Source organism: Homo sapiens, chromosome 18 (assembly GCF_000001405.40).
Source record: "Homo sapiens chromosome 18, GRCh38.p14 Primary Assembly".
NCBI lineage: Eukaryota > Metazoa > Chordata > Mammalia > Primates > Hominidae > Homo > Homo sapiens.
In genome coordinates this window covers 6134857-6157450 of record NC_000018.10, presented here as the reverse complement: position 1 = coordinate 6157450, position 22594 = coordinate 6134857, and the positions used below count along the sequence as shown (strand labels likewise).

The 22594-nt window shown below is 39.8% G+C and overlaps 1 protein-coding gene across 27 annotated transcripts in view, besides 1 other annotated feature; it reads left to right on the top strand.

Moving 5' to 3' along the window:
* Positions 1 to 22594, top strand: part of L3MBTL4 (L3MBTL histone methyl-lysine binding protein 4) — a 460543-nt gene that overhangs the window by 257809 nt on the left and 180140 nt on the right. For all 27 annotated transcript variants that reach the window (NR_158610.2, NR_158609.2, NR_158611.2 and 24 more), the window contains one exon: positions 19155 to 19257. Coding sequence is in view for 24 of the 27 variants with exons in the window: in NM_001365765.2 (NP_001352694.1) it covers positions 19155 to 19257 (103 nt within the window). In the remaining 3 variants the exon portion in view is untranslated. The remainder of the gene's footprint in view (positions 1 to 19154; positions 19258 to 22594) is intronic.
* Positions 10657 to 11157: an enhancer, noted in NCBI's record as "H3K4me1 hESC enhancer chr18:6146293-6146793 (GRCh37/hg19 assembly coordinates)". NCBI's record gives its function as "activates a minimal SCP1, AML or CMV promoter by ChIP-STARR-seq in primed H9 embryonic stem cells {active_cell/tissue: H9 hESC(primed)}" and the evidence as "EXISTENCE:reporter gene assay evidence [ECO:0000049][PMID:30033119]".

Below are 22594 nucleotides of genomic sequence, written 5' to 3'. Positions count from 1 at the left end.
GTGGAATTAGAAAAATTTTATTCAGAGATGGAAATTCACTTAGATTATAAAATAAAAGTTAATGCAATTTTTTGGCCAGATGTGAAGCAATTAATATGATGATGGATGGATGTCATTCCGAGGAAAAAATATTGTTAGCCTAACCAGGTAATAGCACATTTTCAATTTCATTCTGTTTTAAAGAGAATTTCACAAGGAATCTTTAGTACTTGTTCTTCCAAATTACAGCAAGCAAGTAATCAGCAGTTTTAAGAGTCCCTAAGTACTCATTGACTTAATAGACAATTACAGCATATTGTGTTTTTTAAAAAGGTAGCTATTTTCAAAGTCCCTAATTACAGATCTACATGATAGACTTATCGAGAAAAAAATAATACGTTTCAAAATGTACTTACAGTCATAATGATATTGTCTGTTTTAAATGTTCCTTGTTGAAGTGCTTATCCTGCGTCTCTACCTTCTGGAGGTGTGAGGGCAGAATCCATTTACTTGATTCTATAACTTAGTTGTTGGATGCCTAGTGGCTAGCTCAGAACAATTCTGCAGATTATTTTCTCATTCTAGCTTGAAGACTTTGTTCACAGTTGCGATGCAGTGTGGCATAGCAGTTTCTGTCATCACATGTACAGACCATCATAGATTGTATTAAATAAAGCACAGCTCTGTGCGAATTTACAGACCTTTAAAATAGGTACAATAGCCCGTCCCTTCTAAAATGGATGAAACAACTCAGTGGTTTGACAGTAAGGCTCGCCAGATTCTCACCCTATCCCAATTTATGACTCATATCTGGCTATAGATTTATGCAAGTCAGCATATGGACGTTGAGTAGAGATCCTGAGTTCACGCAGAGACTTTTCAGCTTTTTCTCAGAGAGATTTAACCCTTTCAGAAGACAATGATGCCTTCCATGGCAGGGGAAGGGAACTGGATGCAATTGTTATGTATCTATATCCCTGCCCTACGTCACCCTACAATACCTGGTTAATGGAAACCTTGAGCAGTTGAGCAATCAACTGACTGTCTGAAAATATTACATGAGGAAGAGTTTTATCATCTCATTGTTGTTGTGGTAATTGAATAGAGATTTATTTGGTATCTCTAATGTACTAACTGCTGTTCTAGGGTTTGCAAAGTCCTATGGGAAATAGTTCTACACTTATGGCCATGATGATAAAGGCACCAGAAGGAGAGATAGTCCTGTGAACACTCATGGCGTGGTAGTGCCATAGTGAAGATATTCACAGAGAAGTCAATGTCTGGCTATTTTGGCTACTTCATGCACTAGTATTTAGTGTTAAAAGATTAAAATTCCTCCTCTTAAAGATGCTTTTTCTTATTTATAGCAATTATTCTTTCAAAATTGGGGGTCAAGGAGAATGAGAAGTGGGCAAGGGCAGCTATCTGTGTTGCTTTAAGGACAAGCTTAATGGTATTAGCATCTTGGAAAATCTTTCATTTTTTTTGTCTTTCATGGTATTAGAAACATTTAAAAATACGTCATAGTTTTATTTTACAAGTAGAGGTATCCTTAAATGACTCCTAGGAATGAACACAGAGTCAAGTATTTTTAATGTAAACATTATGTATTTGCATTCTGAAAGAGAGCTGTATAAAGATTATGATTTTTTTCATTTCACTCTGCATTCTAAGCAACCAAGAATCAAGAAGTTGCAAATATACACAAACCTAAAATTCAATGAGCGCTAAATGACAGACTTAGAGAACTGAAAATTTTTCATCATATTTAAGAAGTAAGAGACTTTGGCTTTTATGTTACTTTTCGTTTATGCTTTGGTATTCATTTCAAATCAGAGAGTAAAAATTGGAATTTGTTTTCCTTAGCAAAGCAGTAAGTTTCACTTCAGCACATAAGTTTACCATAATTAGAGGGGATGGCAGAATACTATACCCAAGTCTTTGGGATAACAGCTCTGTGCACCTGTGCATCCAGCCATGAGAACCATAGATCTTTTCTTCTATGGCCCACTCACAGGATGGCATATTTGGGAGCTTCTCATCCTAGGTGTTGCAGATACAAAGTCAGACCTTCTCTGAGCAGCCAGTAGCCTCGCCCTACTATGTTTGAAGTGACCCTCTAGATTTCTGGCAGTGCAGTCTTCTGCTACATCTCACTCACTCTATAGCATTCTTTAGAATACTCCTAATTTTATTTGCGTTCAGTGCTTCATAAAAATTTTCTGTATGTAGTGTTATTTCTATAACCACCAATGAGCTGAAAGCCATGTAGAGGAGGATACAGCTGCTGACCACATAGTCCTTTTTCTCCTGCATTACCAAACCTCTTCTCCAAGGCATTATTCTCCTTGACTAATCCACATTCTCCTTGTTGCTATTTGACTTGACTCTTTTCTTGAACATTAAAAGCTTTTATTGTTCCAAAGAATTATAAAACAGAGTAAAAGAAATATGGTTATGGAAGTTTTTATACTTTAATGAGCAGTTTATATTTTTTAGATTGACAAGAACATTTTCCGTAATTTTCTTTGAAGTCATCGTTATTCTTTTCATGTCAATGGACCTATTTTGTAATGGAGGTCATTAGAAAAGGAGAGGAATCTTTTATGTAATCCCTCTCATCAAATTGTATATAATGCCAGACAGCCAAGGAAAATTCTTTCACACAGTGGAGTCACATTTTATTCTAGGATTAGGGTCTAAATTCAGCGAGTAATGCAAAAAATCATGTTTAATCACAATTACTGAAAAGTGTGTCTCAGTAAGCCCACCAGAGTGGATTACCTCCATCACTGAACTGTACAGTTGGCGTTGTTGAGCATTAGGTGAAGTCATTGGTGTGAATTGAGGGTCATGCTGTACGATAATCACACTGCACTTTTAAATACCAGGTTGTTTGCACATTCAGAAGACTGCTCACACTGGAGGAACATATTGAGACTGAGGAGAAGAGTAGTAGTCTCTGACTTCTATCTCGTGCTCATACCCAGATTCCATTCTTGAGTACTGTAGTAGGATCACCTATACTTGTAGCTACTAGAGTACATTTCTTTCCCCCTTTTTCATATATATTTGAATTTGGACATATGGTAGAACTCCATTCTATTCATTTCAGATATTTGACTGTCTTGATGTGCATGACTACCCTTGCTATCTTTTAAAGCTAGGAATAGTTGCAACAAGAAGTTGGTGTACATAAACATATAAAAATTTTGATTATTATGTAAAGCAAATATTAAGAGATGTGAATAGAGAAATAGACAGCAATACACTAATAGTATTGGACTTCAGTATCCACTCTCAACAGTGGATAGATCATCCAGATAGAAAATCAGAAACAAGACACGGGTGCCTACTTTAGCTCACATCTATTCAACATAGTATTGGAAATCCAAGCCATAGTAATTAGAGAAGAAAAAGAAATGAAAGGCATTCACATTAGAAAGGAACAAGTTACATTGTCTCTGTTTGCTGATACTGTAATCTTTTGTGCATATAGAAAACTGTATTAGTCTGTTTTCACACTGCTATAAAGAGCTTCTCTGAGACTGGGTAATTTATAAAGGAAGGGGTTTAATTGACTCACAGTTCTGCATGGCTGAGGAGGTCTCAGGAAACTTACAATCATGGCAGAAGGGGAAGCAGGCATCTTCTTCACAAGGTGGCAGGAGAGAGAACAGTGAAAGCACAGTGAAAACTGTCATTTATAAAACCACCAGATCTCATGAGAACTCACTCACTATCATGAGAACAGCATGGGGAAAACCACCCTTATGATCCAATCACCTTCCTCCCTCAACACATGGGGATTGCAATTTGAGATGAGATTTGGGTGGGGACACCGAGCCAAACCATATCAAAATCCCTAAAGAGTCTACAAAGAAACTCTTAGACTTAATAAATAAATTCAGTAAAGTTGCAGGATACAAAATCAATATACAAAAATCAGTTGGGTCTTTATACACTAACAATGAGCTATCCAAATTCCATTTACAATAGCATCAAAAAGAACATAATGCTTAGGAATAAATTTAACCAAGGAGGTGAAATATCTGCCTGCTGAAAACTTTTAAGAAATTGAAAAAAATTGTAGAAGACAAAAATAAATGGGAAGATATCCCATATTCGTGGACTGGAAGACTTAATGTTAAAATTCATACTACTCAAAACAGTTTACAGATTCAGTGCAATCTGTATCAAAATTCCAATGGCATTTTTCACAGAAATAGAAATAACTGTCTCATGGAGCTACAAAAGACCCCAAGTAGCTTGAGCAGTTTTAAGAAAGAAGAACAAAGCTGGAGACATTACATTCCCTGATTTCAAAGTACAGCACAAAGCTATAGTAATCAAAATAGTATGTTAGTAGCATAAAAAGAGACACATAGACCAATGAAACAGAAGAAAGCCCAGAAATAAACCCATGTATATGGTCAAGTAATCTTTGACAAAGGCACCAAGAATATATAATAGGGAAAGGAAATCTCTTTAATAAGTGGTTCTGGGAAAACTACATATCCACATGCAGAAGAATGAAATTGGACCCTTGTCTTGCACCACATACAAAAATTAACTTGAAATGGATTAAAGACTTAAATCTAAGATCTGAAACCATAAAACTCTTAGAAGAGAACATAAGGAAAAGCTTTATCAAGACATTGGTTTTGATAGTGAGTTTTTAAATATGACAACAAAAGCAAAAATAAACAAAGACTACATCAAATTATAAAGCTTCTGCACAGCAAAGGAAACAGTCAATAGAATGAAGAAACAACCTATGGAATGGGAGAAAATAGATACAAACCCGACATCTGATAAAGGGTTATCTCCATGTATATAAGGAATTCATCTAACTCAATAGCAAAAAACCAAAAATCTGATTAAATAATTAAAAATGGGCAAAGGACTTGGATGGACTTTTTTTTCTGAAGAAGCCATACAGATGGACAGCAGGGCCATAGCTGTATGAAAAGGTGCTCAGCATCACTAATTGTCAGAGAAATGCAAATCAAAACTACAGTGAGATATCACCTAACACCTGTTAGGATGATTGTTATCAAAAAGACAAAAGATAACAAGAATTGGCCAGGATGTGGAGAAAAGAGAGAACCCTTGTACACTGTTAATAGGAATATAAATTGGTATAGCTGTTATGGAAAAAAAAAATGGAGGTTCCTTTAAAAATTGCAAATAGAACTACCATGAGATCCAGCAATCCCTCTTTTGGGTATGTATCCAAATGAAATGAAATAAGTATCTCTAAGAGATACCTGTACCCCTATGTTCATTGCGTCATTATTCACAATAGCAAAGATAGGGAATCTACCTAATTGCCCATCAGTGGATGAATGGATAAAGAACATACGGTATTGTACATACAATGGAATATTTTTCATCCATAAAAAGAAAGAAATCCTGTCATTTCCAATATCATGGATAAACTGGAGTGCTTTATGCTAAGTGAAATAAGCCATGCACATAAAAACAAATACTGTATGATCCTACCTATATGAAATCTAAAAAAGTCTAACTAATAGAAGTGGAGAGCAGAATGATGTTTACCAGGGGCTGAGGGGTAACAGAAATGGAGAAATGTTGGCCAAATGTACAAACTTGCAGTTACAAAATGAACAAGTTCCAGGAATATTATGTACAGCATGGGTGGTGATGTGTTAATTTGATTGTGGTAATCATCACACAATATATATGTTTATCACATCACCATGTCATACATCTTGAATATATATTATCTTTGTCAATTACATATTTTAAAATTAGTCTGGGCACGGTGGCTCACATCTGTAATCCCAGCACTTTGGGAGGTCGAGGCGGGTGGATCACCTGAGGTCAGGAGTTGGAGACCTGCCTGGACAACATGGTGAAACCCCGTCTCTACTAAAAATACAAAAAAATTAGCCGTGCCTGGTGGCGCGTGCCTGTAATCCCAGCTACTTGAGAGGCTGAGACAGGAGAAGTGCTTGAATCTGGGAGGCAGAGGTTGCAGTGAGTCGAGATCGTGCCACTGCACTTCAGCCTGGGCAACAAGAGTGAAAACTCCATCTCAAATATATATATATGAAAATTAAAAAAATTAATTGTAGCAGTTGCTTATTGTGTATCATAGCAGAGTCAAAAAAGTACAGATCTGCAAGTTACAAACCTTGAATTTTTGTCCCAAATACCATAATATGACTTATGAGTTGGCACAAATTATGTGACCACATAAACCTTTATTTTGTTATTTACAAAAATAAGTGGGTGGACTGGGTCAGTGGTTCACAACCTGAATGGGGAACACATAAATGATTCACAAGCTTGCCACTGGAATTCTGATTTTGTGGGATCTGGAAGCTTCAATCTTTAAGTCCCTTCCAGTTTTGTATGCCAGTAAGGGGATCCGTTTTCTTCTAGTAGACTCCCAGGCTCTCCTGGTCCTGCTGTGTCTGTGGCCTCTGACCTTGTGGAGCCTGGCGCTGCTGTAGTCTGTACTGGGATGGCACTCCGTGCGGTCCCTGGCACTGAGACACTCACTAAGGCATTGGAAAGTTAGAATTTGAATGGTTAGACTGTATCATGGGAGCTTTCTCTCCTTCTCTGAATGGAGTGCCTTTATACCCAAGGTGCCAGCGAACATTTTTATTTGCTGATTTGACCAGGCAGAAGGTAGGAAGTCTGGTTTCTTACATCTCCTTGCAAGAAGCTCCCTTGGGGCAGCACTAACACTGAGACTCAGTTAGGGCTTGTTCTCTCTCAGTTCTACAGTCTGGACAAATTCAAAGCCACCAGTGAATCAACTAGTACAGGGGAGTTGGAGGGAAGGCAATTTGCTCCTTTTACGTTATCGAAGCATCTGTTACAGACATCAGGTGGAGAATTTTCCTTCCATTTAGAAACTTGGCAGTTCTGCCAAGTTTCTGAATGTCAATAATGAAATGTCATTAATTGTAGAGTTAGATTTCAGGAAGAAGCCATGGAGAGAAATGTAATTAGAATTATACATTGTGTAATTGTGTGTGTGTATGTGCGTGTGTGTGTGTGTGTGTGTGTATTCTCAAACAACTCATAACATTTTCTGTTAAGAATGCCCAAAAGCAGCTTACTGGTCATGAGAACTTTTAATGTGGCCCTGTTAGGCTAGTTTGAGAAGGGATTATGGACACCATAGTTCCCGCTTTAGATGTACTTTTCAGGTTATTGGAAAAATGATATAGTCACTCCACTTGGGAGTATGTTTCAATCTTATGGGTAACTTTCATATTTATACATATTTGGTTATGAGAACATATATGACATTTCTATCAGCAACTAACCAGCTTGACATTTTTAGTCCGAAAATTGTATGTGACACCATCAATGAAACTAGATGTACTAAATTTCTCTTTTAGTAAAAGAGAGGAAAAACAGTTCAAGAGCTGGGGATGCTCAAAACCAATTCATAAGCTACCTGGATATGCTTATAGCTTTTGACCTGTCTCTTATCTCCCCTTACATGAATAAGTACAATCCTAGGACTTAGGAGTATACACGTTATCATCCCAGTTTAGTGTCAATTTGCTTAAGGCAATGTGGAGGAATGGGGAGAGAGAGAGAATGAGTGAATGAATGAGAGAGAGAAAGAGAGAAGGGGGATGGTTTTGCAGCATTTTCACTTGAGTAAAATGGGAATAATTCAATTACATAAACCAAGTACCAAATTAGGTGGGTTTTCTTAAAGGCTGATTTCTCATAAAAGGCTAAAGGAGGTTTAGGGCAAAATAAAGTTAAAAAGTCCTTAGGATGTGGAGAAATAGGAACATTTTTGCACTGTTGGTGGGTCCGTAAACTAGTTCAACCATTGTGGAAGTCAGTGTGGCGATTCCTCAGGGATCTAGAACTAGAAATACCATTTGACCCAGTCATCCCATTACTGGGTATATACCCAAAGGATTATAAATCATGCTGCTATAAAGACACATGCACACGTATGTTTATTGCGGCACTATTCACAATAGCAAAGACTTGGAACCAACCCAAATGTCCAACAATGATAGACTGGATTAAGAAAATGTGGCACATATACACCATGGAATACTATGCAGCCATAAAAAATGATGAGTTCATGTCCTTTGTAGGGACATGTATGAAACTGGAAACCATCATTCTCAGCAAACTATCGCAAGGACAAAAAACCAAACACCATATGTTCTCACTCATAGGTGGGAATTGAACAATGAAAACACATGGACACAGGAAGGGGAACATCACACACTGGGGACTGTTGTGGGGTGGGGGGAGGGGGGAGGGATAGCATTGGGAGATATACCTAATGCTAAATGACGAGTTGATAGGTGCGGCACACCAACATGGCACGTGTATACATATGTAACAAGCCTGCATGTTGTGCACATGTACCCTAAAACTTAAAGTATAATAATAATAAAAAAATTTTTAAAAACTCCTCTTATTTCTTTATAATTTCTTTGAGAGACAATTTTCATAAGGGTAAAGTTTAAAAGATAAATATATTTTAATCACTGTCTTATTTATTTCTTAAAAATAATGAAAAAAATGGAACAGGGCTATCTAGTGAAATAGTATTCACATTAAAAACCCTTAGGTGCCATTTAACTCTTTAGTTCCTCACAGTAAGTCTAATGTTAGTTAAGGGTAGGCTTAATACAGTTTATTTATATGTAAAACATTTTTTTGTGTATGCCAATAACTCTTAACATTTTTTCTATTCTTAAAATTCTGTGCTTTATGGTTGGGCATGGTAGCTCATGCCTGTAATCCCAGCACTCTTGGAAGCTGAAGTGGGAGAATCACTTGAGCCCAGGAGGTCAAGACTGTCCTAGGCAACATAGCATGACCCCCCTCACTACAAAATAAACATAGAAAAATTAGCTGGGCATGGTGGTGTGCAACTGTGGTCCCAGCTACCCAGCAGGCTGAGGCAGAAGGATCATTTGAGCCCAGGAAGTTGATGCTGCAGTGAACCGTGATAGCAGCACCGCAGTCCAGCCTGGGTGATACCAGCCAACAAGTCTCATAAAAAGAAAAAACAAAATCTTATGCTTCTACATTGTCTATGTGGACCTCTCACAATTTTATCCCTTCTGTAGATCAACAAAAAGGTCATTCTCCTGATTTTTGAAAGGTTAAAAACTGAGTAATAAAACAATCCAACATTTTACAAAGGCCTATTCTGTAATATAAAAAGAGCTTAGTTTTGTTGTATTTAAGTGGTTGTGGTATAAATACTTTAAAATACTAATGTGACATTTTTGAATGGGGAGATATCTAAAATTGAATCTACAATTTTCTCTTCTTTATTGTCATTTTATCCATATATCAGTAAAACTATATGTGTAACTTCTTCACTTTCTTGTTCCTAATCCTTACAATGGCTCATACCAATACACACCAGATCTCAGATGCTTCGACTGGAGTCTACAGGTCAAATCATTCCATTTTCCATCAAACCTCTGATCTCCCTGATACTGTACTCATATTTAAATATGAGGTCATCCTTTTCTGGGATCCTCATTTAATTAGCCAATTACCCATTATCTTATTAACTCTTAATTAAAGCTGAACATATGATAAATGCATTTTACTATATTTTGTTAAGAAAATATTTGCCAGTTCTTTATTAAGGAAGTGGTCTTCTGTCTCATTTCAAAATAATAAGCAAAGGCCAGTACCACATGATATTTTTGCCTTAACTGCTCTGAAGCTATGTCAGATCTGTGAAAGAGACTTTTGGAGTCTGCATTCTTTTCTTACTGTGTGATTGTTTCTGAGTGGAAGATAAGTATTATTATTATATCGATTCATCTCTTTCAGGAATTTACCACATTTCTAAACATATCCCTATGTCAGGCAGATGGTTAGATTGCCTTTCTCTACTAATATTGCCATCGTGGTACTTTAAAGATTTTTCTAGATTGTCAAGTAAGTATAAAATTGACATTTTTAGGAACCTTTTAAAATTCTTTTTTTTGCATTTTCATTTCACAAAATTGTTGTTCTATTTTATTTATGTATTATGAAATATGATGTCCTGAAACCCAGGTACAAGCAAACATGGTGTTTGGTTATATTATTTTCTTCTTCTATTTGAGACACTAATTATTATAGCACAATGGATATTTATTTTCCCTAATTTCATTAGGAGGAGGAGAATAGGTATGATTAACCTATAATTTTAGTTTGAAAGATAATGCTTATTATTTGCATTCTCCAATGTTCAAGGGTAATTATTTCATTAAATCTTCTTAGCAAACTATAATACAAATTTCCTGTGGGGTGGCAGGGAAAAAACCAAGATACTAACCTAAACATTTCCAGTCCAAAGTAAAGATAGTAAAATCTTAATTATTTGAAATGGGAAAGAGTGCATAATTGAACAGTTTGCTTTATTGATTTTTAGTTCACATTTCATACCTTGCTCCACTGCTGCATTCTCAAGCTCAGCTGTCGAGCTTACTGCCTGTTTCACCGAGAACATAAAAGCTGTCAGTGGAGAAATTTGTCTTCCTTCTGCCATCGAGCCCACTAGCGCCCCATCATCTGCACACATAGGTTTTGCCTTCGCCAGGACTGGGACTACTGACAGTCCCTGATCGCCCCACTGCTCATCCTCACTGGGATACTGGCCTATCACCCCGTCCTCACTCAATGACTTTTTCCCACATTTAAACCCCTCCCTACATTATCAAATTTTCCCTGTACTGAAATATTCTCATCATCACTCAAACAAAAACAATAATAGAAATACCATTTGGGGCATAAATCCACTTTTTTATAACCACTTTATACAACCTTTTATATAAAAACTTCTTAATAAGTTGTTTAAACTATAGCTTCTCCCTTTTTCCTCTTCCACTTTCCCGTGAACCTCCATCAGGCTTGCTCACACCTTTTCACTGAAAGCATTCTTGCCGCAGGCCTGGCAGCCTGGCACTTTGCGAAACCCAGCGGCCAGGTGCAGGTTCAACCGTTGCATGGACTGAGCGCCTTCTCCGCAGCTTCCTCGTAGCGCTTCCTCTACTCGCTGAGTTCCTCGCTCTCAGCCGCCTCGCTCACTCTTTCTTTCTGCTCTCTACATCTCGGTGTTCCCAGAGTTCAGTCCTCAGACTTCTCTTCTTCATGGACACGAACTCGCCATGGGGCTCACCTAGCCCCAGCTGTAAATAGCGGTGTGGATGCTGCCTGTGTGGGCTCTGAAGGGCTGACTCCAGTCGCAGCCACGATGCAGAGCGCACAGCAGGTCCCGAGCAGCGAGGTAGGTGTGTTCTCACCGATCCCCTCTCCACGCAGTGCTTGCCAGTGTCTCCCAGCCAACCCAGAATAAACAAGAGACTCTTTGGCCCACGCCGTCTCATCTCCCGCCACCCTTCCCCTCACCCAGGCCTTCTGGCTGTTGTCCCAGCGTGTCCCGTGCTCTCACTTCAAGTAGGATTCTGCTCAAATATCAGCACTCCTTCTCTGCCTCCCCGTCTTAAAAATCTCCCCACGTCCCCCACTCACTGTCTCTTCCTTACCCCACTTCATGTATCTGCCTAACATCATCACTCTGACTTGCTGTCATGCTTCTTACCTGATGGCTTATTCCATCTTTGGCACCAGAAGGTAAGCTCCCGGGGCAGGGCCTTTCTCTGGTTTGCCGCCATATCCCTAGCAAAGGGAACAGCAGCGTCTAATAAACCTGCAGTATCCCTTTAATTGAATGGATAACCCTCAGTAATTAATTTTATGTTAAAAATAAGAAAAAATAAAATCTTGACTGTTATCTGTGACATTTAAATCTATTTCCCTTTTCAAAGAAGCAGTGTTTGTACATCTTCTAGTGGATATTATCACCCAATGCTAATGTCATTTCTCTATTACAAAAAAAAAAAAAACTTGCTAAATGAATCAGGTTGAATCGAGTACTGTTTCAGCAGTGAGTAATTAGTATTGAAATAAAGATAGGAATGCTCCTGATTCTTCTTCTTCTTTTTTTTTGATGCTGGCCAACATCAATCCATAACTCATCTATATATTTAAATGAGTAGACCATCTTAATTTGCTTCAGGGTCAGCATTATCACTGTGCTATGGGCGTCTGTATACCAAATAAAATTACAGTTCTGAGAAGAGAGTACATTCTTAGAAGGAGGAGGATGTTCTCAGTCTGTAACCCATTTTAGGTATAATAATAAGCATTTTCATTTACATCACCCAGAGTCACCAATTTGGGCCATTTTGGAATAAGAAAAGACAGTTCCCTTTTTCATTTTCTAGAGATAAGTACAATCTCTTTTATTTCTCGATTTTTGCCTTGATCTTTTACATCATCTTTACATGACAATATGTCTGAAATACATACGCAACTTGAGTGTTTTCTTTTAAGGACAATTGCTTGATTTCACAAAAGAAAAATCAAAATAAAATTGCTGTTTTATCCTAGAAATTTTTATCAGCAAGTAACACAAAAATTAAACCATAGAGTTTAATCAAAGAGAGGGATATCATTCTTGCATGACAGATCACTGGTGTAACAGGTCCAAGGATGGCAGTGTTGTGGGCCCAGGCTCTTTCTTCCTTTTTTCTCTTCTTCCCTCAACACCTTTGCATTTGTCTCTGTGCTTATCATCTCATGAGTGTTTACATCTGCATTCCAGGGAGTCCAAAGATGGGGGAAATGAGCAAAGCAGCACCAGTCTCATCTTCGCCCTTTTAACAGGAAAGAAAAGCATTTGTCTTTACGGTGCCTTTCCCTTCGGTCCTGTTATCCAGGACAGTTTCAAGTGACCATGACCAGATTTAAGAGAGGCTGGGAATGAGGGTGTGTGTAGCTGGGCACATTGTTGCCCTGAGCAAAATCAGAGTTTGGTTGGCAAGGAAAGAGGGCTGTGTGTAGTAACCATGCATTGTATGTGAATGGGGAATCCCATGAGGACATCTTACAATAGTATCATGTTAGGGTAAAGCATTATTCATTATTCAGATAATTCTTAGTTTACAAGCATATTTTCTTTCCTTTTTGTCCTTTCCTAAAGAACCTTGCCATTAGATTTACTCCTGCCTGAGTAAAAGATTTCTTAGAAGACTTGCAATGAACTAGGAGTTATTCATGCTGCTTGATATAGCAAGTAGCTCATGGTATTTAGAAACAGAAGATCAGAGAGGGATTTCAGACAAGCTGAGCTCTGAAATGAGAATAAAATAGTGATGATCTCACAGCATTGTGATAAAATAGTGCTTCCAGGTATTAATTGTTGCTGTCTTTTTTTTTTTTTTTTTTTTTTTTGGAGATGGAGTCTCACTCTGTCGCCCAGGCTGGAGTGCAGTGGTGTGATCTCAGCTCACTGCAAGCTCCACCTTCCAGGTTCACGCCATTCTCTTGCCTCAGCCTCTCCAGTAGCTGGGACTACAGGGCCTGCCACCATGCCCAGCCAATTCTTTGTATTTTTAGTAGAGACGGGGTTTCACCGTGTTAGCCAGGATAGTCTCGATCTCCTGACCTTGTGATCCGCCACCCTTGGCCTCCCAAAATGCTGGGATTACAGGCGTGAGCCACCGCGCCCAGCCGTTGCTGTCTTTATTATCATTTTCCCACTCATAAAACATACTTGTTGAGTATCTATTATCTGCCAGTCGCTGTTCTGGCAGATAATAGGTGCTGGGGATACAGTGGTAGACAAGTTAGATAAGGTAAATGTCCTCACTCTAGTGAAGGGAGACAGGTGATAGAAGCAGATAAACTACAAAACTAATTTCAGGAAAAGTGGTAAAAATAAGACAAGAATGGGTCATATGGTCAGAGATGCTCTTTCTGAAAAAGTGATTTAGAGCTGAGGACATTTCTTCTTGAGACCTAATTGTCTAAATATCCAAATTATAGTAAGCTATTCTTGGCAAAAATACGATTATTTTCTGAACAAAAACATTCGTTTGATGGTAGGTTTCCTTTATCTTAGAGTAATAATGTGAACTGTTGCAGAATTTGCAGGTTTCTTTTCCCTAGTGGATGGCTTCTTGTCTCATTTGCCATTGATTCAACCTATTATACTTCATCATACAAAATTTAATGAGGAAATTGCTAGGTCCCATGCATTTTTATTTCCTGTTTTTCTTGACTCTTTCTTTGTTATGTCTTTTGCTGCAGTTCTTAATGCAATGGCTCTTCTCCCATAGTTGAGGTCATGCCTTTCCTTCCAGCTCTACCTGGGAGAGAATGATGGTACCTATCAGGGATATGGAGATAAATATGCATTGATAAATATTAAAAACATCAGTTTAAACCTTAATTTAATAAAGTACATTAAAATAGTACTGAAAACAATATTAAGTAGCATTCATTGAAAGATCACTCTGTGTGTAGGATGTTGTCCACACAGAGTTACATCTGGGTTAGCTGATGGAGAGTATTTTTTGTTTTTTTAATTTGTGGGTTTAATATTACAGACCTTTGTAATGATAGCTTGCATAATGTATTGTGAGATGCAGTTTAGAGAAAACTGTTTATATACTATATGTTTCTTTTCTGGTAGATCCTTTTATTTACTGAATGACACAAGCATATTTCTTAATGAAGGATTTGTTTACAATTTTTTTTTTGAGATACAGTCTCACTGTCTCCCAGACTGGTTGAACTCCTGGGCTCAAGAGATCCTCCCATTTTAGCCTTCAGAGTAGCTAGGACTATCGGTACATGCCACCATGCCCAAATAACTTTTAAGATTATTTTTTTGTAGAAATAAGGTCTATGTTACCCAGGCAGGTTTCAAATTCCTGACCTCAAGCGATCCTCCCACCTCAAACTCCCAAAGTTCTGGGATTACATGCGTGGGCCACCATGCCTATCCTGTTTACAGTTTTCAAACATCACTTCCTCTGATTCGTTTAAAAGTTGTTTTTTTAAAAAAAGCTGTTTCCAAAGCTGGCTTTGAATAGGGTAGCTCTATTTTTCTTTATTTATGCTTCAATGTGTTTCACAAAGTCATAAGAACATAAGATGTGCTTAAGACATACTTTCAGTAAATGTAATGAAAATATATTTGAGGCTTAAATATTTGTTTTAATATCATGACACATTGGGACCTAAACTCAGTCAGTATTTCCATGCAACCTAATTTCACTGTAATTCAAATTTGCTGTTTATATATAAGCTGCTTTTCTGGACTATGAGTGTCTCTCAAAGGAAGAACTGTGGAACACTCACCTGTTCCACAAACACTGAGCACTAACTATGTGTTGGGCTAGATACTGGTGACACAGTGGTGAACTAGACTCATGCCTGTAGCTTATGGTCTAATAAGAGAGATAGACATTAAACAAATAATTATTTACTTTGTAATTGAGGTAGGTGCTATATAAAATGAGGACGTAACCTCCTCTCAGAAGTTAGCATGAGGAAGTGAAATATAAGCCAAGATGTGAAAGATAATAAGAAGTTATCCAAGGGGACACAGTGGAATGTTCTTGCCAGCATGCAAATGCCCTGATGTAGGAAAGAACTGGCAGGTTCAAGGAATAGGAGAAGGCCAGCATGGATGCAGAATCCTGAATGAGGAGAAAAATCAAGTCCAATCATAAATCATGTAGGCCAGGGTAAAAATTCGAGTTTTCATCCTAACAGCAATGAGAAGCCATTGAAATGTGCTAAGAGAGAAGTGATATGATTGTATCTGTGATTTGAAAAGATTGCTCTGGTTGCAAGATGGAAAATAGATTAGGAAGAGTGAAGAATGGCTATCGCAATTCTTCAAGAAGGAAGATGGCTTTGGATTAGGCCAGTCATAGTAGTGATGAAGATAAGTTGGTAGGTAAAAGAAATATTTGAAAAATTGAGGACCGATTGATAGGGTGGCATGAAATGAGGGAGAGGTGATGTGAAGGATCCAGCGAGAAATGATGTCAAGGATCCAGGCTCCTGGATGGAGGGTAATGCAGTCACGGAGATGAGCTGCTCTACGGGAGAAGAAGGCTAGGGGGACAAGACGATAGGTTCAGTCTGAACATGTTGACTTTGAAATGACTTTAAGAAATAACTACAGAGACATCAAGTGGAAAGGTGGATACATTGGTCTGGAACTTCAAGAATGCCTGGGCTGTAGACTGTGAGCATCTGTAGCATGCAGTTGGTAAATGAAGCCGTGGAAATGAATGGCCCAGGAGCAAACCTTGAGGATGTTGCCTGAAATTTCAGGTTGACTAGAGGAGGAAATGCTGGCAAAGGAGATTACAAAAGAATCCTCATATGCAGAAGGAAAACTGTCAGAGTGTGATGTTGCCAAAGCCAGTGGACAACAGCAATTCCAGAAGGAGACTGCAAACTATATATTGAACTACATCCTGTAGCACATAGTACAGTATGTAGTTTCAGTAAATACTTATTCCGCAAGCACTTACTGAGCACACAGTTAGTGCTCAGTAAGTGCTTGCGGAATAGGTGAGTATTCCATAGTTCTTCCTTTCAGAGGCACTCATAGTCTAGAAAAGAAGCTTATATATAAACCATAAATTTGTGTTACAGTGTAATTAGATTTCATGAAAATACTGACTGAGTCTAGGTCCCAGTGTGTGGTGATATTAAAACAAATGTGCCTCAGGAAAGGAGCCCTGAGGAGAAGGAGATAATTACTTTGAGAGGTTTGCTCTGAACAAGAAGCAGGGAACAGCAGCTAAGAGGGGATGTGGGATCTAAGTAGAGTTGTAAGCTTTTGTTTTCTCTTTTGTCTTTGTTTTTATGATGGAGAAACTGGAGTATGTTTAAATGTTGGTCAATAGTCAAGGAGTGATTAAAATACCTCATAGCTTACAGATCCTGGAGAATGGGAGGTGATGAGATCAAGCACAGATGGTGAGGGATTTGCTTTGGAGAGGGGAAAGTGCGTCCCACACTGCAGTGGAAAGGAAGGAGGGGAAGTGCTGGGCAGGCGGTGAGGAGGCGCTCTGCTCTGTCCATGGGCTCCTGGTCCTCAGCAGGGCTGAGGGTGCAGGCCAGTGGCAGTGTGGGACACCGGTGTTTTGATAACACCTCGTCTGCACAATGTGCATTTTTTTCCCAGGAGAACTTAGTTATGCAAAACATAGAGCAGCAGGTTGTTTCGGGCCATCCATGGTTGGCTCTTTCCCACCTTCGCGCCACAGCCAGACATGATTGAAAAGTCAGAGAGCAAGGGAGTTTAAGTTCCTAGCAGCAGAGGGTCAAATAACAGTTGATAGAATCTAAGTTAGACAAGGGAAGTGGGTTATGGCCCCTCAGAAGGGGCTGAGGAAGAGAAGAAGGGAAATTAGTGGCCTGGAACCTCCACTGATGTTGAAAACATCAGCAGCAGTTGGGCACCTGATCACGCAGTATGGGAGGATACGATTTTGTGGTCAGGTGGGGCTTTAGAAGCAAAGCCATTTTGGGTGATGACAAGACCCAGAGGGTTTTGTTTGTGTGGCCCAGATGGGTTGGGGGCCACTAGCTCGAGGAAGTGACTGACGTGCTGGGGTGGCAGAGTGGCAGGGTGAGCACATGGGGCCTGAGTGTGCCTGAGCATTTGCCAGAGTTGGGACAGAGCAGAACATGGAGAGCCAGTGCCAAAGTCTTCCCTGAGTGATGTGGAAACAGTGGGCAGATAGTGGAAGCCCAAGGCATCAGACTCAGAAGAGGAGCCTCAGAGGTGTGGCCCTGAGGAGGCACAGAGAGGAAGACGGTCCCTGACTTCCCTGCCTCTCTGGAGGCATGTGACCCCTGTGGAGGGCTGTGGGAAGCCATGTCTTCAGCCCCATGAAACCAGGGCTGGGAAATGGGGAATATTGAGATGAGGAGGAGGAAGTAGGGAATTTGTTGAACAGGAAATGGAAGTCTGAGAGCTGGGAGGGGAGAAGGAAAGTGTGGGATTGTCAGAGAAGTAAGGCCCAGAACAGCAGGAGGTATGGGATGGGACGTTCCAGGAACTGATATGTGTGAGTGTGCGTGTGTGTGTGTGCACATGTGTATGTGTGTGTGTGTGTGCATGTGTGTTTAGGGGGCGGAGAATACTGAGGAAGATCACAGAACAGGGCATGGAGGTTTTGCTACTGATAATATTGAGATGTAGACTGCCTCTTGGGCTTGACAGAATGCTTGGCATGGTTAGAGTACAGTGCATTGCAATGCAGTACAGTACGGTATATAGTACAATATAGCACAGTGTAGCATATAGTATGGTGTAGCATAGAGTATAGTATATAGTACACTGTAGCTTATAGTACAGTGTAGTATATAGCATAGTATATAGTACAGTGTAGCATATAGTATGGTGTAGTGTATGGTACAGTATAGTGTATGATGTAGCATATAGTACAGTGTAGCGTATAGTACTGCATAGCATATGGTACAGTAGAGCAGTAGTATAGAGTAGCATAATGTCAGTTCTTTCTTTGCCTAGCTTTGAAAGCCACTTGAGTAAGTGTGCTGTGGGGCCATGTTTGCCATCTTCAGCACGCCCCATTTGCTGGCCCAGTTTCTGTCCAGTATTCTAAGATCCTTGCTGTGGTTGAGTGGAGGCTTCACTGAGGACCAGAAAGCAGACCTTACGTATTCGCATTCTCAGCTCGTGGCTGTATTGTCTTTGCCATTATTAATCTCTGAAAGAAATAAGTGAATGTTCTCATATCTATTTTTAAAAATTTCTCACACCTGTAATCCCAGTACTTTGGGAGGCTGAGGTGGGCAGATTGCCTGAGGTCAGGAGTTCGAGACCAGCCTGGCCAACGTGGTGAAACCCTGTCTCTACTAAAAATACAAAAATTAGCTGGGCGTGGTGGTGCTTGCCTGCAATTCCAGCTACTCAGGAGGCTGAGGCAGGAGAATTGCTTGAACTCGGGAGGCAGAGGTTGCAGTGAGCCGAGATGCGCCACTGCATTCCAGCCTGGGCAACAGAGTGAGACTTAGTCTCAAAAATAAAAAAAGAAATTCTTCAATGCCTATTCATTTATTCATTTTCCTCTCTCTCTGATATGGGTTGTGCTGTTGGTGTTATTTATCACAGCACTGGTATTTTCTGCTAAATAATTTAATATTAATAATACATCGTAAGTCACCTGTAAGTGGTTTTTGGTGATGGTTTGTTTTTAATTTGTAAAGTCTTAATTAGCATCATTTACATATTTCAGATTTGCAGTCTTCTTTAATGAGGGTGTTTTCAAGGCATGTTCTTTTACTTCCTGAAGGAACGAATGACCTGAAGATCCTTCCAGGTCAAGCTGTCTGTCCTACTCCCGGGTGCCGAGGAATAGGCCATATCCGTGGTCCACGTTATTCGGGACATCACAGGTAACATTTTTCTTATTTAAGTTATTTCCTGGATGAATGGAAACATTCTGCAGATTAGCAGCTACATGGAGCATCATAAATGAGTCTCATGGAGCCAGCTGCCCCTGTGACACTCCCACCTCTGTGTTGCTGAGGCCTTTCCTTGACATTTTCCTCTGCCTGCCAACTCTGCCCTTCTAGAACCTTCTTGGAATTATGAGGCATTTCCCAGACCCACTTCATGTCCCAGAATCTCTGTTTTCTAATAATTTTCCTACCAAATGCACACTGTCATACACACCCACCACCCTGTCCTGAGACTTGCTTTCTTCTAGAGAAATTCCAGAGCCTCTTGCCTTTTCTACTCATTTTCTATTTCTTGCCTCTATTTCTTTTTCTGTCTTTCTTATTCATTTGGAGTTAATTCTATAAAAGAATAGAAAACTAGTGTGAAGTTATGTTGCAGAATATGCCCATGTTTTAATTATTTGACAATATCCATATGAACAGATGTTGCTTTTGAAGAAAAATAATACGAATAAATATGTAAGCCTTTGCTTCTTTGTCTATCCTCATCAATTGGTAAATAATGTATAGATAAATTATTTATATTGGTGATCTAGAAACATATATAAATTAAGACTGAAAGAATTAATATCAAATTTGTTCAAATACACAAATATGTAAACAAACATAGAAAAGTTTACTGTAAAGAGAAAAGAATAAGTCATATAATACATGAAGCAAGAAAACATTTGTTTGAATAAAGGATCTAAGCATAATACAGGAAGTCCATGCTTTATCAGGCAATCCTGGAAACTAGTGCCTAAAACATTTTTAACTGAATAAAAGGAAATGCCACTGTAATAGTGATAAGCACTCCCAAATCACATACATGAATATAAATGTGATATGTGTAAATCTATTAACACTTAAAAGAAAAAAATATAGCATTCATAAAAAAAGAAAGACATGAAGACTGCTTGGCGACTTGTGAAAATCTGTGGGACTCAGACTGTGAATGTGGAGCTGGACCCGGAGGAGATGTCTTAGTCCCAGCAGTGTCAAGTCTGTAAGGAGTCTGCAGTAACTCAATTCTTGCCTCCTCAGAGGAAAGAGTTTGTCCCAGGGGCATAAGGCAGAGTGAGAGACCAAAGCAAGTTTTTGAGCAAGAGTGAAATGTTATTAAAAAGTTTTAGAGCAGGAGCAAAAGGAAGTAAAGTGCACTTGGAAGAAGGCCAGGAGGGCAACTTGAGAAAGTCAAGTGAGCCATTTAGGCCTTGCCTTGGGGTTTTTATACATTGGCATAATTCTAGGCGCTGCATTTCTTCTGTCCTCGTTACTGGTGGAGGGTGTCCAAGTTCTTGGTGTCTGGCACAAAGAAATGGACAAAACACACAAACAAAGCAAGGAAAGAATGAAGCAATGAAAGCAGAGATGTATTGAAAGTGAAAGTACACTCCATAGAGTGGGAGCACACCCAAGCACAGGGCCTCAAGATCCCCATTACAGAATTTTTAGGGGGGTTAAATACCCTCTAAAGGTTTCCCATTGGTTACTTGGTACACTCTATGTAGGTGAAGTAGTGGGCCACAGTCAGTCTGATCGGTTGTGGAAAGCAACCAATCAGAGGCTGAAGTGAAGTTGCAAAGTTACACTCCTATGCAAACATCTGATTGGTTGCTCTCCACATCTGGTTGCTGTCTACAACCAATCAGAGATACTTTCAATTTTCCATCTTTCATGCAGAAAAGCAGGGGGTGAGGGGTGCAAAGGGAGTAGCCTCTGGTCCTTTTGTTACTTTAGTGTGGAAAGTTGGGGGTTTTCTTTTCGTTTAGTTCTAGGAAGTCAGCGTGAATTGGCCTTAGGTTCCCTGCCTCCAGACCCTATTCTCCTGAGTCACCCTGATTCTTCCTTGGAGTGGACTGTCCACATGTGCAGTGGCCTGCCAGCACTTGGGAGGGGCTGTGATATGGTTTGGCTGTATCCTCACTCAAATCTCAACTTGAATTGTATCTCCCAAAATTCCCACATGTTGTGGGAGGGACCCAGGGAGAGGTAATTGAATCATGGGGCCCAGTATTTCCCGTGCTATTCTTGTGATAGTGAATAAGTCTCACAAGATCTGATGGGTTTATCAGGGGTTTCCACTTTTGCTTTCTTCCTCATTTTCCCTTGCTGCCACCATGTAAGATGTGCCTTTCACCTCCCACCATGATTCTGAGGCTTCCCCAGCCATGTGGAACTGTAAGTCCAATTAAACCTCTTTTTCTTTCCCAGTCCCCTGTATGTCTTTATCAGCAGTGTGAAAACAGAATAATACAGTACAATTGGTACCATTAGAGTGGGACACTGCTGAAAAGGTACAAGCAAATGTGGAAACAACTTTGGAACTGTGTAAAGGGCAGAGGTTGGAACAGTTTGGAGGGCTCAGAAGAAGACAGGAAAATGTGGTAAAGTTTGGAACCTCCCAGAGACTTGTCGAGTGGCTTTGACAAAAATGCTGATAGTGATATGAACAATAAGGCTGAGGTGGTCTCAGATGGAGATGAGGAACTTGTTGGGAACTGGAGCAAAGGTGACTCTTGTTATGTTTTAGCAAAGAGACTGGCAGCATCTTGCCCTTGCCCTAGAGATTTGTGGAACTTTGAACTTGAGAAAGATGATTTAGGGTATCTGGTGGAAGAAATTTCTAAGCAGCAAAGCATTCAAAAGTTGACTTGGGTGCTGTTAAAAGCATCCCATTTTAAAAGGAAAACAGAGCATAAAAGTTCAGAAAATTTGCAGCCTGATGATGCAGTAGAAAAGAAAAACCCATTTTTTGAGGAGAAATTCAAGCTGGCTGCAGAAATTTGCATAAGTAGCAAGGAGCCTAATGATAATCCCCAAGACCATGGGGAAAATGTCTCCAGGCCATGTCAGGGACCTTTACGGCACCCTCTCCCATCACAGGCCTGGAGGCCCAGGAGGAAAAAGTGGTTTTGTGGGTTGGGCCCAGTTGTGTGCAGCCTAGAGTCTTGGTACCCTGTTTCCCAGCTGCTCCAGCTGTGGCTGAAAGGGGCCAACATAAGGCTTGGGCTATGGCTTCAGAGGGTGGAAGTCCCAAGCCTTGGCAGCTTCCACATGGTGTTGAGCCTGTGGGTGTATGGAAGTCAAGATTGAGGTTTGGGAACCTCCGCCTAGATTTAAGAAGATGTATGGAAATGCCTGGATGCCCAAGCAAAAGTTTGCTGCAGGGGCAGGGATCTCATGGAGAACCTCTGCTAGGGCAGTGTGGAAGGGAAATGTGGGGTCAGAGCCCCCACACCGAGTCCCTACTGGGGCACTGCCTAGTGGAGCTGTGAGAAGAGGGCCTCTG